At 53.1% G+C, this 16,608-nt stretch overlaps 1 protein-coding gene and 2 long non-coding RNA genes across 3 annotated transcripts in view, besides 3 other annotated features; 1 reads left to right on the top strand and 2 right to left on the bottom strand.

Annotated features, from left to right (window-relative positions):
* LOC124905135 (collagen alpha-1(III) chain-like) overlaps positions 1 to 16,608 on the bottom strand; it is a 69,285-nt gene that overhangs the window by 49,853 nt on the left and 2,824 nt on the right. The gene's annotated exons all lie outside the window — the stretch shown is intronic.
* PRR34-AS1 (PRR34 antisense RNA 1) lies at positions 5,554 to 10,230 on the bottom strand. The gene is made up of 3 exons (NR_027034.1): positions 10,156 to 10,230; positions 7,131 to 7,229; positions 5,554 to 7,014 (listed from the first exon to the last, which is right to left on the bottom strand). It is a non-coding gene; the product is annotated as a PRR34 antisense RNA 1 (long non-coding RNA).
* Positions 5,702 to 5,751: an enhancer, noted in NCBI's record as "active region_19231". NCBI's record gives its function as "activates an Ori minimal core promoter by ATAC-STARR-seq in GM12878 lymphoblastoid cells {active_cell/tissue: GM12878}" and the evidence as "EXISTENCE:reporter gene assay evidence [ECO:0000049][PMID:35858748]".
* On the top strand, positions 9,851 to 15,545 carry PRR34 (PRR34 long non-coding RNA). Its single transcript, NR_165243.1, has 2 exons — positions 9,851 to 10,326; positions 12,177 to 15,545. It is a non-coding gene; the product is annotated as a PRR34 long non-coding RNA (long non-coding RNA).
* Positions 9,941 to 10,100: a silencer, noted in NCBI's record as "silent region_13897". NCBI's record gives its function as "represses an Ori minimal core promoter by ATAC-STARR-seq in GM12878 lymphoblastoid cells {active_cell/tissue: GM12878}" and the evidence as "EXISTENCE:reporter gene assay evidence [ECO:0000049][PMID:35858748]".
* Positions 10,341 to 10,460: a silencer, noted in NCBI's record as "silent region_13896". NCBI's record gives its function as "represses an Ori minimal core promoter by ATAC-STARR-seq in GM12878 lymphoblastoid cells {active_cell/tissue: GM12878}" and the evidence as "EXISTENCE:reporter gene assay evidence [ECO:0000049][PMID:35858748]".

Genomic DNA, 16,608 nt, shown 5'->3' with positions numbered 1-16,608 from the left:
CAGCACCTCACGTGTGCAGAGCAAACACTTCATCATTTACACAACGTGTTCTCACCTCGCCTCACGTGACTCTCCTGGCCCGTGCAGCAGACAGAACGAGAACTCTCTTAGCTCTTTAAAGACTGGGGAAACTGAGGCCCAGGTGAGTGGTGCCGTGACTAGGCCTGATACCACACAGACTTGGGACCCCGACTGCTGTGTACACACATGCACTTTGTTATTTTTGTTTTTTTAAGGAAAACATCACCATCCATCCCTTCATACTCATACACACATAGGCTTATTTTATTTTATGAACAGTTTCCAGGCAAAACAGAGCCCCATTGAAATTTAGGTCCCAGAAATGCCTTACGCCGGTCTGGCTTTGGGAGCTCTCCCCCCATCTTCCCTGCAGTGGCTTCCATCGTCCGAGGTGCCCACTTTCCCTGCCAGGTGCATCCTGATCAGCCCCTAGAATTAGACTGGGGCAAATAGACCTTGGGTATAAAATCACAGACACAATCGCCCCACGAGAGTCCTTGTCACAAAGCTGCTTTGCCTGAGCTGAAAGAGCACAATAACCCCGTCCTCTGTCCTCGTCTGCCGGGCTGCCAGTCCCTGCAACCAGAGCCTCCCTGGCCAGGCACCCGGGGTGGTTCCAAGCCCCACCTAAGCCTCATCCCTGCTTACAGCCCTCTGTGAACCTGGCAGGCAGCTGCCCCATGGTCTCAATATCAAAGGCCGATCAGTGTTGAGGACAGCCTTTGAGAACCCTCACCATCTCATGCCTGCAAGCACTGCTGAGAGAGGGGTGGCGGGGGTCCCCAGCCTGGGCATCAGCATTCCACGGAGGCAAACTTACACTGATCAGATTGGATTATTGCTCCTCAGAAAGGAGAAAGGCTACATAGAAGTGGTGACCTCAGGAGGGATGCACAGGAACGAGGCAGGCGAGTAAAGAGGCACCGGGCTATTTGGCAGTCATTCTATGAAAGGCAAGAATCACAAGGCATGTCTCCCAAGGGCTTTCCTTCCCAGGTGGAGATCTGCACCGCACACCCAGAAGGTGACGGCCACACCTGCCTACCCCCACTCATGGCCCACGGCAGGACCCCTACCCAGCTCCATCCTCACAACAGCAGGGCATATCCGACAACTCCTGAACACCAAGTCTTCCCAAAGCCAAATTCCACGTTAGAATATTCCACCGTGCAATCAACAAGCTCAAAAACAAACTCAACATAAAAAAAAAAAAGTCTTCCTGGCAAAGCCTAGCAGTATTTACAGCTGGTGAACAAAACTGAAATAAGTGAGAATCAGGTAGAGGGCCTTGCCTGGCGGTGCCAGGAACTGGAAGCCTTTCTGCTCATCTTTGGAGGCAAAGGCTTTCAAGAAGAGTCCTTTCTGTGCTTTCCTTTTTGCACCTAATTACAAAAGAAAGTACCTTTTTAAAAATCAAACAGAACCCTTACGAAAATTACAAGTGCTAAGTCTCAAAAGCTTCTTGGGATAAACATTATAACCTTGTCCAACATTTGAGGAAAAAACGAAGAACAGAAAGACGTGAAATGGTCAAGGCCTGAATTTCGTGTCAACGGATGCATTCATGGCCTCAGCATCCTCCTCTGGCCTAGAACCGTTCCCAGGTGCTGGAAAGGTTGTGATGTGGAGGAAAAAGAGGTTGTCGGGGAGGGAGCCCACGTGCAGAGGGTCTGAAGGGTTCCGGCTTCCCTCACCAGGGGAGTGGGGTTCGCATAGATGGAGCGTCTTTTCTTTCCCGTGTGACAGGCTTCCAAGCAGAAATAAAGAGCAGAAAAAGAAAAACAAGAACTAATACACGTCTCCTCTGCATCACGGCTGTCTGAAATCCTTACGGGGCCTGCACAGGGACCCCGGGAGCAGTGTCTCTGCGGCCTCCCCCAACCCCGCTCCAGGGGACAGGCACCCACGTGGCCGCGGGAGTGCGTGGGGACCTTGCGCGGACCAGGAGCACCCGGCCCCGGGGCGGGAGGTGCGGGCCAGTTTCAGCCGGCCAGCTGCGGACCTGGGGGGACACAGGGCCCAGGCCCGCAGCGGCTCTGAAGGCAGGGAGGCCTCGGTGCGCCTCCTCCAGGCAGCCCCAGGGCGGGCACGCGAGGCAGGGCCGAGTCCGGCACCAGGCCTGAGGCTCGGGGTCCGCGGCGGGCGGGGAGGCCGGTCTGCAGCGGGGCGGGGCGGGTCCCCAGGGTTCGAACCGAGGCCTGGAGTCGGAGCCTGGGCCCGGAGCCGCTGCAGAGGGTCCGGGCCGGGGCCGGGGTCCGCCTGGGCAGGGACGAGGGTTCGAGCCGGGGTCCCAGGCCGGGGTCGGGTCGGAGTTGGCGGGCGGGTCCGGGGCCTGCGTCCGAGGGCGCGTCCCAGGCAGAGTCCAGGGTGCGGTCCGGGCAGAGGCGGCGGCACGCGCCCCAATTAGCCGCAGGCCGGGCGGCGGGGCTGCCCCATTGAGGGCGAACAAAGGGCGCGACCCCGGGGTCAGGAGTCGCGGGCTGCGGCCGCCGCTTTGTTCGGCGCCTGTTTACTTTGCCCAAGCGGAGCTCATAAGATATTGACTAAAGCGGATTAGGGGGTCGCGCCCCGGAGGCCCAGGCGGGCTGCGGGAGGCTCCAGGGCCCGCGGGACCTCCCAGCCGGGCGCGCCTGGCCGAGTCGGCCCCTTCCCCGCCGCCCGAGCGTCCCCAGCCTCGCCTCCGCCCCGCTCTGCCGGGGAAACTGAGGCTCCGGCCGGGCGGGCCCGGGAGAGGGGGCTCTGCGGCCGGCGGGCAGCCCGGGACCGCCCGGAGCCAGCCGGGAAGTGATGGGGTTGCCCGGGGCACTGCATTTTAAAGAATTCTGCCCGTCCCGATACGGCAGGTCCTGGGAATCCATTTTACAGTGAAGCAAGTCGCACTTGCCTGAAGGCTAGGAAATATTAGTTGGAAACACGGACAGATTTTTCCGTATAACAAAATCCTGGCACATTATGGTTAAGAAAGAAACTTCTAGTCTCTTAACGCAAGCGATGCGCTCCTGGCGTGAATAGGCAGGTGACCTAAGAGTGCAGAGAAATATTTTAAGGGCAATACAAGCTTACGAAAATAAATGTTTTCTTTCTTTTTAAAAAAAAGAATAAGACAACTGATGAGTCTAAATAAACCACTAGGATTCCCACTCAAAGACCACAATTAATCTGATACTATGAATCCAGGATCTACGGACTTCTCCAGTAATTAACTTGCAGAATCTTTTAAATTGTCCCTAGAAAACCAAACAGGGGAAGCAGAAAGCCCCAACTGAAAATCAGGCACCATGTCTCACCACCGGAGGGTTGTCACCCAACCAAGGATCCAAGAAGAAGACGGGCCTTTTTCCACCCTTCTTAAGGCTATTGTTTAGGGAACAAAAACACTTCCCGAGTCCACACAAAATCTTAATTGAGATTTTTCTGCCCTGGCGTACAAGTATATGTGTTTGGTTAGAAAACTCACATAGTATTGGATTAATAAGCTACCAACATATAAATCTTTTATTAAAGAAAGAACAATATTGACTTACTATTCCTATTTGTTGGTCTAACGAATACTTCTGCTACGTGTATCATCCATCCCCAATGACTGAAAGAAAGCATGCCATTTGTCTCTATTTGTCTATCTTCCTATAATGAGTCTTTAAAAATAGTTTTTCCCTGATTATAAATATACCACGTGTTTAATGAAGGCACAGGAAAGTGTAAATTATACGCAATTTAAGAATAAAATATAAAGACAGATATTTAAGATATAATTTCAGTAGTAAATAAAAAATATGGGTTAAGTATAAAATACACAAAAAAAGGAAAATTCACCTACATGCCGCAATCCAGAAATAATATTCTGTTGTATTTCCCTCCCAACCATTGTTCAGCACACATATACATACACAGACATGCCTTACATATGTACATACTGTAGGAAGGTGTTGTATCCCGTACACACCCATACCATTCCAAACTTTTTGTCAATACCATTTTATTATTATTTATTTATTTATTGAGATGGAGTTTCGCTCTTGTCACCCAGGCTGGAGTGCAATGGCGCAATCTCGGCTCACTGCAACCTCCACCTCCTGCGTTCAAGCGATTCTCCTGCCTCAGCCTCCCGACTAGCTGGGATTACAGGCACAAGCCACCACGTCCGGCTAATTTTTGTATTTTCAGTAGAGACGGGGTTTCACCATGTTGCCCAGGCTGGTCTCGAGCTCCTGACCTCAGGTGATCCACCCGCCTTGGCCTCCCAAAATGTCACCACCGTTTTAACGGTGACACAATGTTCCATTATTTCACTATGGGATAATTTACTGTCATGTCCCCTATGATTCCCTATGTCATGTCTTGCTAATATTTGTATACTGTAGTGAACACTGCAACCTATGATCTTGCCTATGAAGTTTGTCTGCAACTTGGGTTATTAATAAATCTCAAATGATCTATTGTTAAGACGTTGAGGCCACTGCATTATTCTAAGCGGGTAAAGGTAGACCCCATAGACTTCATTTCTCCTATCATGAACGTACCCGGCTATTCTAGAAATGCCTTTGGATCAGTTACTCAGAAGGCAATAGGGAGGTCTGTGTGGTTCCCCCTCCAGAGGCCTGGTTCTGTGGAACTTTTTCCTGATGGACTTGTGGGGTCGGCCAAGGCACATGCATGATTGTGACATGCTATTGGGGGATTGTGCCCTTGCACTGAAGTTCTGGTGGATTTCTGCCTACCAAGCCACTTGGCACTAACCCCCAACCACGCGGCGGGTGTAAGTCAGGGCCATAAAGCTGAACACCTTGGAAACATTATCCCAACAGTTCCGATGAAACTTTGCACGTCTAAGAAGCGGTTTGATTTGGCCCAAGCATCTTTCTTTGCTTAGAATTCAAGCATTGAAGCTGCTTTTTACACTCTCTCAGCGCCCCCCTCCCAATCCGTGCTGCAGTGTTCCTGGGTTTTCTGTCGGGGACAGCCTGCCTGCATCTTCCCACCTCCCAGCCCTCTCCTGCATGGGAAGGCCTAGCGCGCTCACCTCCACAGCTCGGGCCCTGCGAGATAATGGGTTTCATGCCACTCACTCCGGCTCCCTGATGCCCTGAGCCCACCTGCAGGCCTGGCTTTGCCGTGGGGCTGTGCTGGCCGTGTATCTGGGCTACCCCAACCGGGCTCCCAGCACAGCAGGACAAGGAGGCTGGGTGCCGTGGAGCCTGAGGTCTTCTCCCTGAACACCCAGACCCTGAGCCGGGCCCTCCTGAAGGAGGCAGCAAGAGAGAAAGAACTGCCACTGAGGACCAGAGGGGCCAAGGCGACAAGGAGGACCAATCACAAAAGCCCACGGAGTTATCTGAAAATAGATGCTAGGAGAATTGATGAAAGCCGCTCGGCAGAGAGCAGAGCCTGGAAGGAAACACAGGAAAATGTGACCAGAGCTTGTCTCTGCGTGGGAGAAAGGATGAATAATTTTTCCCTTATGTGCATTTTTCTGTATTTTCCAAATTTTCTATAGTGAGCATATGTTGCTTTCATGATCAGAAAAGGACTATATTACTGATATGATTCTATTTATTATAAGTCAAATAGATATAATTCATTATGAGAATGAAATGAATTATTGTTAATAGTTATGAGATTAACATAAACAATCATCGTCGTGTATTGCCAGAAAAGTTATTAAGATGGTAGCAGTTGTTCTCGTGTCTCTAGCACATCCCCCTTCAGAGAAACTTTCAAATAGAAAACGAAACTGGGCATCTCTGCTATGCAAATATTGGTGGCTGTTGTCATATTCCTGCAACAGCCCTTGACAGTGGGCTGGGCTGGGTGCTGTTCTCACTTTAAATCCGGGGAGCTGAGGCTTGGAGGAATAAAGGGAACAGCCCCAGGACTTGAACAGAGCCCTTGGGTCACCCATGTCTCTACTGTAGCTTCCAGGCCGTTTCCCCTGGGGATCCAATGTGTTTCCTGTTGTCCCCAATCTTTTAAATTTTTTTCCATTATTAGAGTTAGTACCAGCAGCCAGGGTGGAACTGCAATTCGTGAAGATTGCATTGGCTTGCTTTAAAAGAATGGTATCTGTACGGGTCCCTTAACCATTCGAGGGGCACCATCGGGCTTGTGGGTCATGCTGGGAAGTGGCCCGGCTGCCTGTGACAGTTTCTCAGCCAGGCAGGGACTCTTTTCCACACGATGACACTGGAACTGAATGCCACACTCCTTCTCCTTGGAAGAAAAAATGGTGTGTAGGACAAGGACTCAGGACATGGGTGTGGAAGAATCTCTGTGGTACGAGCCCAGCCTGGAAGAACTCTTAGGTCAGAAACACCCCTTTTCTGACCTTATTTTTGAAAAGTGGGCCATTTCCAGCCCCTAATAACGGAGGGGGACCAATCTCCAAATTCAATGTACTTGATCTTAAGAATCGTTCTTTAAAAGTGAGTTAAAAGGCAAAGTAGCATGCTGTTGTCTACTCTAAAAGGCAATTTCTAAATTTGGATTAAAAAAAAAATTGTACTCTAGCTTGCAAATCCAGTGGCTCTCAGAATGCAAGTAAGATACACCACTCCTTGTGCTAAAATCATCTTAAGCAGTTTAAAATAAATCAAAACAAAACGATGTGAGCCGAGCATATGTCTCCCATCCCTTGTGTTTTGAAGGCCGAGTGGGCCAGGCTGCCTAGCACAGACCGGTTCAGTCCGAGAGCCGCCTGGGCCCAGATCTCGGCAGTCAATGATTTTAAGAGAGGGCCACAATGTCTCCTGGACCAAAGAGACCTAGGTCTTTTACTTTCCAAAGATGGCCTCGGTTCTAGACAAGGATTAAATTATAAAATAAATCATTACAGAACATAATCAACAGGTAAGATGAATAAATTGAAGACATTTATTTCCTCCAAGAAAAATGTCTGGCACTTGGAATTTTCAAGCTGCAAGTAGATGTACACATTTTCAAAAGATCTTTCTTTTCCTTCGCTTCCTCACACTGGGCACAGCAAAACATCTCTGCCTTCTAAAATAAAAACACATGCCACTTTAATTTAGCAAAGAGAAGCCAGAATGCAGAATCTTTGCAGAGATTTTTTTTTTTTTTAATTAAAAAGAGAGACTGACAACTTCATTTTATACCTTTTCACGGGAAGTGACCCTCCTCCCCATGGGTCAATAAGTTAACGCCAAATCGCGGCAAAACGGCGAATTCCATCTCTGAGGCTCTAGAAGCTCAATCTAGAAGGAGAGATTTTAATTGTAACCCCTAAACAGCAAATGCTGACATTTGTCTTGCTTTCAGATAGTCTCCAGACTGGGCCAGAACATGACTAATTTATTTTATCTTATCCATCTATCTAGGCACAGGATTAAAATATTTATATCAGTCTGTTCACTTTAAAATGTGCAGTTACAGACACCAGCTTCAGGGCCACTCCTTAATTTTTCACAGTTTTGGCTTTTCATTGTTTCCAGAAATGCACAGTCCTTGAATGGCGAACACTCGCAAATGCTGATGAAATCTTTAAGTGAGGAGCCTCTAAACTAATATGAAAATCTCCCCTTTCAGGCTGCGTGGACGCTGCCCGGCCACGGTGACGGAGCTGTTCCAATGCCTGCTTCCCGAGACAGGCCCATGAAATCATGCAGGCTTGAGCCCGGCTTCTAGAAGGAGCACGCCTCTGGCCAGGGTGGCTGGTGGAAACCAGTCCTGGCCAAGGGAGCCCCGGCCAGGCTGCCAGGTAGGCAGCAGGCGGCAGGGGGTTAATGTGGGGAGCGGGCAGGGGTGGGGTGGGAAGCCAGCTGGGGAAATGGGGGCTGCAGGGCCCAGCCCGACCAGGCACAGACACAGGGGGCTCTGTCTGCTTGCCCGCTGCCCTGGCACTGTGACTAACCGCCCCACTATTGTGAGTCTGAAGTCAGCCCTTTGTGTCGTCCCCTGGCGTCTGGGAGCACAGCCGAAGAACCCTTTCCAGCAGCCCCCCTCATTCTGGAACCTGCAGCCCCAACATCCATTCTTTCAGCTCTCAGGGTTGCTGGGGGCTGATGAGCCAGTGGAAGTATCCCTTTCCCTGGCCAGGAAGGGCCACCAGCAAAAAAGAAGCAGAAAACCAGTCTCCCCTACTCTGGGTGGGGAAGTGGGGGGCACAGGGACCTACTAAACCTACGTGACCGCCGTGGTAGCTGCTCCACACGCAGCAAAGGAGCCATTGAAATGGGGAGAGGCCAAATCGAATATGGAAAAAATGGCAAAATATCCCGTTCACAGTTTCATACGAGCAACACACTGAAATAGGATTTTGGAAATTTATATTAGATTAAAATGAATTTTAGTACTAAAGTGAATCTTACCCGCTTATTTTCACTTTCTGAAAATGTGGCTATTAGAAGGTGTTAAATGACAGATGTGGCTTGCATTTGTGGCTCGCGTTGTTTTGTGTGAGCTCGTGGGTTTGGGGGTGCTGGGACCTTGAAGGCTGCTTTCTCCTAGGGAGACAATGGCACTCCCTACCCATCATTGTCAGGAATACCAGGCCCTTGCAGCCACACTGTCTCCTGACCCTGGCCTTGCATTCCCCGTTTTGAGAATTGGGACTTACACACGCAGGTGTCTAGGAATCCTTTGTCAAACACTGGCATGCACACGAGTATGCCTGCACACCCACGTGCACATACACGGACACGCACAGACATACACAGCCCTGGCTCCTGTCCACCGCAGGCTGGAGCAACCTGTCCCAGCTAGCCTTCGTGGAAGCCAGATTCACAGGGCACCCAGATGCCCTCCAAACCCCCCCTGGACCCAGACATCTGACCCTTTGTCCTGGGACAGACAGGACCAACCCAGGCCACACCCGCCTTCCATGGGCCGGGGCACTTTTGGCTTCCTGGTTCCCTTCCTCCATAAATACTAAAAATTCTATTTTATGACTACATCAGACTAAAGGCCAATAAAACCAGGTCGAATTCATTGTCGTATATTCATTATTTTTATAGTCATTTTTTCTTCTGATTTTAAAAGAAATTAAAATGAAAACATTTCATGGGCCCTAGGCTCTATGCCTCGTGGGCTTGTGGGCCCAGACCATCCCTCTGAGCTCCCATGCCCAAACCCATGCCCCTGAGTCTCACCCAGCGAGGAGCACAGGGGGCTTGCCTGCCGTTTGTCCAGTGACCAGATAGATACCTTCTGAACTCATTCCTTAAGTCCTGCCCTCAGTAAACAGTGTGTGAATCCCTCACCAGATGCCAGAAAACGTTCCACATTATTTTTAAAACAGAAGTCAGTCAGGAGGAAGGCCTGGGATGCCAGTGTGGTTGAAGGCCCCAAGTCAGTGGGAGCTAAGACCCTCACCCGGTACAGGGCTGGGGTCTCCAACCGGGGACCTGGACACCATGTTTAACACCCAAGAGCAGGCCAGCAAACAGGCGTGCTGCTCTGGGTAGCGACTGGTACCGTGAGGTGCAGCCTCCGAGAGCACCAGGCCCCTTCTGCCTCCCACCCTCCACCCCTGCTGCAGGTGCTGCGGGGCCCCCGGTTCTGGATGGAGGTGCAGAGGAGGCTGGGCTTTCCGGCGTCCCCCAGAACCGGCATCGGCTGCTCTGGCCTTTCCCTTCCCAGGGAGCCACGGCGCCAGGCCTGGGCCCAAACCCTGCTCAGGAAGGACGGGCCGGTGCAGGAGATGGTTAAAATTCTGCATCCTTTTTGCATCCGCCTCCAGAGGAAGCGCTGCTTTCTCCCCCCACCACCCCCCCCCCAACCCCCCCACCCCGCGAAGCAGGAGGAGGGGGGAAAAAAGCTGAGAGCAGCAATTTGCAGGCCTTGGGATGTTTTTCTCCTTGACAGCCCCGGGCCCCGCCTCGCTCCGGCCCTTCCTCCGACTGTGCGGCTGGCCCTGTGGCCGCGGCTCGGTGTCTGCCGCTCCTGCCCGGGCCCCTGCACACGCGTCCTCCCCTCGGCGGGGAGGCCGGCTAGGGGCAGGCGGGCAGCGATGCCTGCGTCGGCCACAGCTGCCTGGCACTGCCCTCCTTTGTGCCTGCCTCCTCTGCCAGCCTCCGCTCCAACCTCCCCCCCCAACCCCGCAACGAGGCCTGCTCCTGGGCCCGGCCGCAGGGCCCGTTGCCCACAGAGCGCCCACCCTGCGCCCACCCGGGGTGCCCTCACCTTCTGGGCCCCTGGCTCCTGGCCTCGGGTCCTGCTGGTGCCCAGGTCGCCCGGCCCCGTCCTCCGTGCTCCGCGTTTGCCCCACCCTGCTGCCCGAGCTCGGCGGCGAGCCTGGCACGGTGCCAGGCTGCCTGGGAGCCCAGCCCGGGCAGGGCGAACTTTCCAGCGAGGGTGTGTATGGGGGGGAGCTGCGGGGTGAGGGTGGTGCCTGGGGAGGGAGAGGGCCCCAGGTGCCCGGCGGCCGGCCCCCGGCCCCCAGCCCCCAGCCCCTGGCCGGCCTGCGGGGGCCTCCCCTGCCTCCCGTCCCCAGAGTCCCACAGAGGCGCAGACAACACGAGCGCTTGAGTCCCAGCAGCCATGTGCAGGAGCCGGCAAACAAACAAAAGCCCTTATTTATTTATTTAGTTCACACTCCCAGATAAGGAGGCGCCTTTTGTGCACATAATTTCACACACATCAGAACGGAGGCGATGCCACGGTACTCCCCACAGCCCGAGAGCCCCGGACAGCCGCCCGGCCCTCATGAATAATTGCATCGCCTCGGCCTGGGCATTTCCATATTTAAATTGGGCAGCAGCGTATGATTAATTAAGAAGGAAAAAGGCAAAAAGGAAGAAAAGCAGTGGGGGTGGGGAGCCGGACACTCTGGGCAGCGCAATGTGCCAAGGTGCCCGCGGCAGCTTAACTCCTCCCATGCCAGGGCCCAGGGGGAGGCCACAGCAGGGGCTGGGAGGGGAGGCTCCCAAGACCCTCAGCCTGGAGGGCGGCATGTCCTTGCCTGCTGTCCTGTGTCGAGTGCCACCCCAGCCTCACATGCTGCCTGGGGAAGGTTCTCTTCCTCCTGTTCGTATTCCGGGCAGCTCACCATTGCTCAGGTCAAAATGTGCCATGCCAGTGCTGGGGAAAGAGACACACCGAGGCCCCCCAGTGGGGCACTTCCAGCGGGAACTGACCTGTCTTTTGCCCTGCACAGCTTCACCCTACATCCCTGCCACATGCAAGCTGCAACGCTGCCCTGCCTGGGGAGGCTCTGCGGCCCATCCCCACTCTCACAAGCCTCCTCCTCCAAAGGGCTGGCTCTTCTGGCCCTGAAAGCAGCCGGCCTGTTCCGGGAGTGGGGCAGGAAGGCCTGCCACCCTTCTAGAAAGATTTTTGGCTAAGTGAGTGCCAGGAAAGACTATATTCCTAAGGCAAGAAGTGGCCCCGGATTTAGAGTCTGGCCATCACCAAGGTTTGGCCTTATTGTTTGCCATTTGTGTGGCCTGAGGCAGGTTATCTGGCCTCTCTGGGCCTCGGTCTGCCTGGTTGCAAAATGGGAATGATATGAATGCCCACTATTCCTGCCCTGTGGGGTCCCGGCGAGCAAGAGCAGCTCCTGGTTGGCAGAGAGCCTGCCCGAGTTCCCAGACTCGTTGTCCTTGTGGTGGGCTGAGGTCTGAGCCAGAACAAGTCCAGATAGACCCAGGACCATGCAGCCCTGCCCCTGCTGAGGCCCCAGGACACTGGTCAGAAATTTGCTGAGAAAATAATCTGAATTCTTGTGGCCAAGAGTGTCCTAGGGCCACCAGGCCTGGCTTGGTTGTGGGGGGCCCATCTGCCCTTGAGCGTATGCAGGGGTGTGTGGAGTGGGAGGGCTCTGGGGCAGGACCAGCTGCCCAGCAAGAGCCTCCTAGGGGTCCTCTGGGGTCTGGGCAGCATTATTATCACCCCCTCCTTTACAGCTGGGGGAACTCAGGCATAGAGAGTTCAGGAGCATACCTGAGATCACACCAAAGTGGGGGCCCTGGGATTTAAACTCAGAGCACCCCAAATCCCATCCCAAGGCTTTTCTTTTCTCTTTTTGAGATGGGGTCTTGCTCTGTTGCCCCTGCTGGAGTGCAGTGGCGTGATCACCGCTCACTGCAGCCTCAACCTCCCAGGCTCAAGTTATCCTCCTGCCTCAGCCACCCAAGTTGCTGGGACTTACAGGCGTGTGCCACCATGCCCAGCTAATGTTTTTTTTTTTAACCTTTGTTGCTCAGGTTGGTCTCAAACTCCTGGGCTCATGCAATCTTCCTGCCTCGGCCTCCCAATGTGCTGGAATTACAGGTATGAGCTACCGCGCTCAGCCCAAACCCAGGGCTCTTAACCACCCTACTATGTACTGTGCTGGCCCCCGGTCAAGGGAGAGAACTCACGTCAGGCAAAAATGTTTTACAGAGAGGCAGCTAAGTCTTTTCCACAGTGGATGACACAGTCCCCCTCACAAACCACCCCACAGATCCAACCCCAAGGAACTCTGCTTCTACGTGTGCCCTTGGGGCAAGGGATGCAAAGCACCAGGCGATGGAGCTCAGAGGATGGCACTCTTCCAGAGAGCTGTGTGTCTCTGGGAAAGCTAACACACCTCTCTGAGCCTGTTGCTACAGCTTTACCATCAGCGATGTGACTGCAAGCCTTCTCAGCTGCCTGTCAGCAGATGCACAGGCCTGTGCACAGAGCTCTGCGGAGACCACGCCGACATCGCCGCACACCCACCCTCCTGCTCATGGGACAGACCATTCACACCTGCTTCACCACCAGCCACAGGCTTGTCGGAAGGAGCAGACTCTTCTCCACGGACAAGCCACTGCCCCTTTGAGGGCCTCAGCTTCCTTACCCTATGAGATGAGGAAACAGATCTTCACTTGCCACAGGACTTGGGGGGATGAAAAGGTAACCTCCGTAAAGCTGCCCCTGGTGTGGGGAAGCCACCCCATAGATGACATTGCCCGCCCTCCCCCTAGGCCCAGAGCTCTACAGAGTCCTCAAGCTGGTGTCCCTCCAGGCTAAAACACTTCCACCCCCTGGGCAGTGCACTACAGGGTGGTGGGGAAGGGGCCATCTGTGGAAGAAACACAGGGCCTGGCCTGGGGTCCTGGGCAAGACCTCTGTGACCTCAGTTTCCCCAGATCCCTCCAGGTGTGACCTTGTAGATGGCCTCTATTCTGGATTCACAGCTGCTGAGGAGGAGGAAGAGGACACTGAAGGCATTCCTTCAGTCCCCTGGGGAGGTTCAGATGCTCAGACTCCCTGATACCACCTTTCCTGGGCAGAATAAAGTCCCCAAGATGTCCAAGCCCTAATCCCTGGAGCCTGGGAAAGTGTTACCTCCCAGACCAAAGGGACTTTGTAGGTGTGTGATTGAGTTGAAGATCTGCAGTGAGAGGGTAGCCTGGATTAGCCACGTGTGCCCAAAAGCAGAGACTCCTTCCCAGCCGTGGTCAGAGACAGAACAAGGGGACGCTGCTGGCTTTAAAGACGGAAGAAGGGACGAGGAGCCAAGGAGTGCAAGTGCCGCCAGAGGCCAGAAAAGGCAAGGGATGGATTTTTCCCCTGGAGTTCCAGGAGGAACCAGCCCTGCCAACACCTGGATTTTAGTTCTGGGACCCCACCTCAGACATCTGACCCCCTTGACTGTAAGGTAATAAATGTGCGTTGCTTAAGCCACTGAGTCAGCCATAAGTTGTTACATGGCTGCCACAGGAAACTAACAGGCCCTCCCCTCTGGCCCCAACATGCCCAGCTGCCTGTGAAGGGGAAGAAGGATGGCACAAGGCACGGCCCTCATCGATGTGTTCACACACCTTGCTCCCCTACTGAGCTGGCCCTGGGGCTGCAGACCTGATCCCTGCTCTCAGGAGCCTTCGCCAGCTGAGAGACGCCCGCAGAGCCTCCCCTCCACTGCGGAGGCTCGAACCTTCCCTCCTGCTGCTGCTGCCCCATCCTCTCCTCTTCCTCCTGCTGCTGTTTGTTGAGTGCTCCCTGTGAGTAGGCACCAGGCTAGTGTCCTCCTCCCAACCCCAGCCTCATAGGCTCAGCGGTCAGGCCACCCGAGCAGTCACATTGTAGACCCCTGAATCCTGCCCATGGTTTGGCAGGACAAAGGGCCTTTTCTGCTTCAGAGTCACAAATGTGTCCTCCTCACAATAAGGGTGGCATGGAGGTCCCTGGGCCAGTGCCTCAGCCTATTGAGCCTGGGGTCCTTGTCTGTACAGGGGGATGAAGGTAGCACCTCACAGATGGCGATAAACCCAGCCAGTGCAGGGCAGGCAGTCAGCGCTCCAAACTCGCTTCAAGTCTTTGCCTATGCTGCCAATCAAGTCAGCTGTGGGAAGAGTCAGGTTTTTCTCTTGAAAGTCAGGGCCGGGCACGGTGGCTCATGCCTGTAATCCCAGCACTTTGGGAGGCTGAGGTGGGTAGATCACAAGGTCAGGAGACCGAGACCATCCTGGCTAACACAGTGAAACCCTGTCTCTACTAAAAATACAAAAAATTAGCCGGGCATGGTGGCACGCACCTGTAGTCCCACCTACTTGGGAGGCTGAGGCAGGAGAATCACTTGAACCTGGGAGGCAGAGGTTTGCAGTGAACCGAGATCACGCCACTGCACTCCAGCCCTGGACGACAGTGAGACTCTATCTCAAAAAAAAAAAAAAAAAAAAAGTCAGATGCAATGCCAGGGCTGTGGTGTGGGACTGTCACTGCATGAGGCATGGGGGCTGAGGTACTTGGCCAAGGGGGTTTTTCAGAGACCACCCCAAGAGTCTTCTGGAGCCAAAATATCACCCCTAATGACTTAACTGGGAGCCCCACCACTAAAGCAGGGTTTCATCATGCTAGGAAGTAATCAGAAAAGTGCAGACAAATGTTCCTGGAAGTGTTGCCTACAATGGGGAAAACTGGAAATAACTGGGAAGAACCCAAGTGCCTGATAATAAGGGGTTAGTTAAGGACCTCTGTCCAGTGGAATATGCTAAATAGTCATGAAAGTTCATTTGCAAGACAGTATCTTCTGACTTAGGAAAATATTGTGATAAAATATTAATGAAACAAGCAGAAGATAAAATGATACACCTAATAAGATGCTAATTTTGCTTAAAATATGTTTTGACAGACTAGGTGTGGTGGCTCACACCTGTAACCCCAGCACTGTGGAAAGCTGAGGTGGGTGGGTCACCTGAGGTCAGGAGCTCGAGACCAGCCTGGCCAACATAGTGAAACCCCATCTCTACTAAAAATACAAGTTAGCTGGGGGTGGTGGTAGGCGCCTGTAGTCCCAGCCACTTGGGAGGCTGAGCCAGGAGAATCGCTTGGAGCCAGGTGAATCGCTTGAACCCAGGAAGCAGAGGTTGCAGTGAGCCGAGACTGCACCACTGCACTCCAGTCTGGGCGACACAACGAGACTCCATCTCAAAAAAAAAAAAAAAAAAGTTTTGACAGAAGCTGGGTGAGGCCTTCCCAGTGGCTATCTCTGAGTGTGCTTTCATAGGTGATTGACAAATGTTTTTCTTTTCTGAGGACTCAAAGTGTTCTAAAATGAGCATGGAACATCAATGATGGCATTAAAGAAAAAAAAAAAGAATGGCAAAGACGAGGAGTTGTACTCCTTCACTGAAGCTGCCTTTGGTCCCTCCCTGGGCCTCAGCATGCGGCACGAACACGTGTGAGGGGCAGGGCTGGCTTTGTGGGTTTGTGACCCATACCACCGCACAGGGCCCTGAGCTTAGGAAGGCCCTGCATTCGGAAGGGCCCCAAGCTCGTTTTAATTCACACCATCGTCACCACCTTGTAATTCTCAGGCATTTTCAAACCAGGGGGCCACATTTTCTTCTTACCCTGGGCCCTGCAAACTCTATAGCCGATCCTGGCGAGGAACCCTGGGCCTCCGGACACCTTGACTTTTCTCTCCAGTTTCCTGAATGCCGCAGCCAGCTTTCTGGGGTAGGTTTATTTCCCATGCAGTGACTCCTTATATTTTGTCCAGGGTTTCCAAAATCAGGGGCCCAAGGACATTAACCTCAAAAAATCAAAGCATATATTGGCTGTCCCCCGGGACAGTGGCTGCCTTGTTAGGAGGTGGGTGGGGTCACTGGCACAGCCCTGGCATTGCTAAATGGGCTGTTGGCAAAAAGAGGAAACAGGGCTCTGTTCTGTAAAAACATGCGTGAGCATTTGCAGTGCTTTTTCTGGAGACTGAAATCTTTCTGTACACCTCACCAAATTTTCAGAAGTTTCTTATGAGGTATGTGTTTTCTCCAGTAAAACCAGGTGCCTCTGACTCAGGGGCACTGCCTATGGACCTGTCCTACATCTCTTTCTACCAGTTAAGGCTCAAGGATGCCTGGGTGACTCTGTCCTACGGCTTCTGCAGCCACACTGCCAGATAGGTGGTGAGCTGCCTGTCTCTGGAGGCATTCAACAAAGGCTGCACAGGAAACACCTTCTCTGGCATTAGCCTAGAGAAGCTCACCTGAGGGTGTCACTGCACAGGGTATCTGGCAGCTTCTAAGGCAGGACCTTGTCGTCTTTTCTCTCTGTGCCCAGTACTCCATACAGGAGTATAGGTGTGGGGGAGGTGTTCAGTGACTGTTTCCTTTAGGGTACGGAAACAAGTGCCAGAAGGTGGTGAGGTAAGCGATGCAAAGTTGACAT

This window comes from Homo sapiens, chromosome 22, assembly GCF_000001405.40.
Source record: "Homo sapiens chromosome 22, GRCh38.p14 Primary Assembly".
In the NCBI taxonomy this organism is placed as follows: Eukaryota; Metazoa; Chordata; class Mammalia; order Primates; family Hominidae; genus Homo; species Homo sapiens.
Note: the sequence above shows the minus strand (reverse complement) of the source record. Positions and strands in the feature narration are given on the sequence as shown.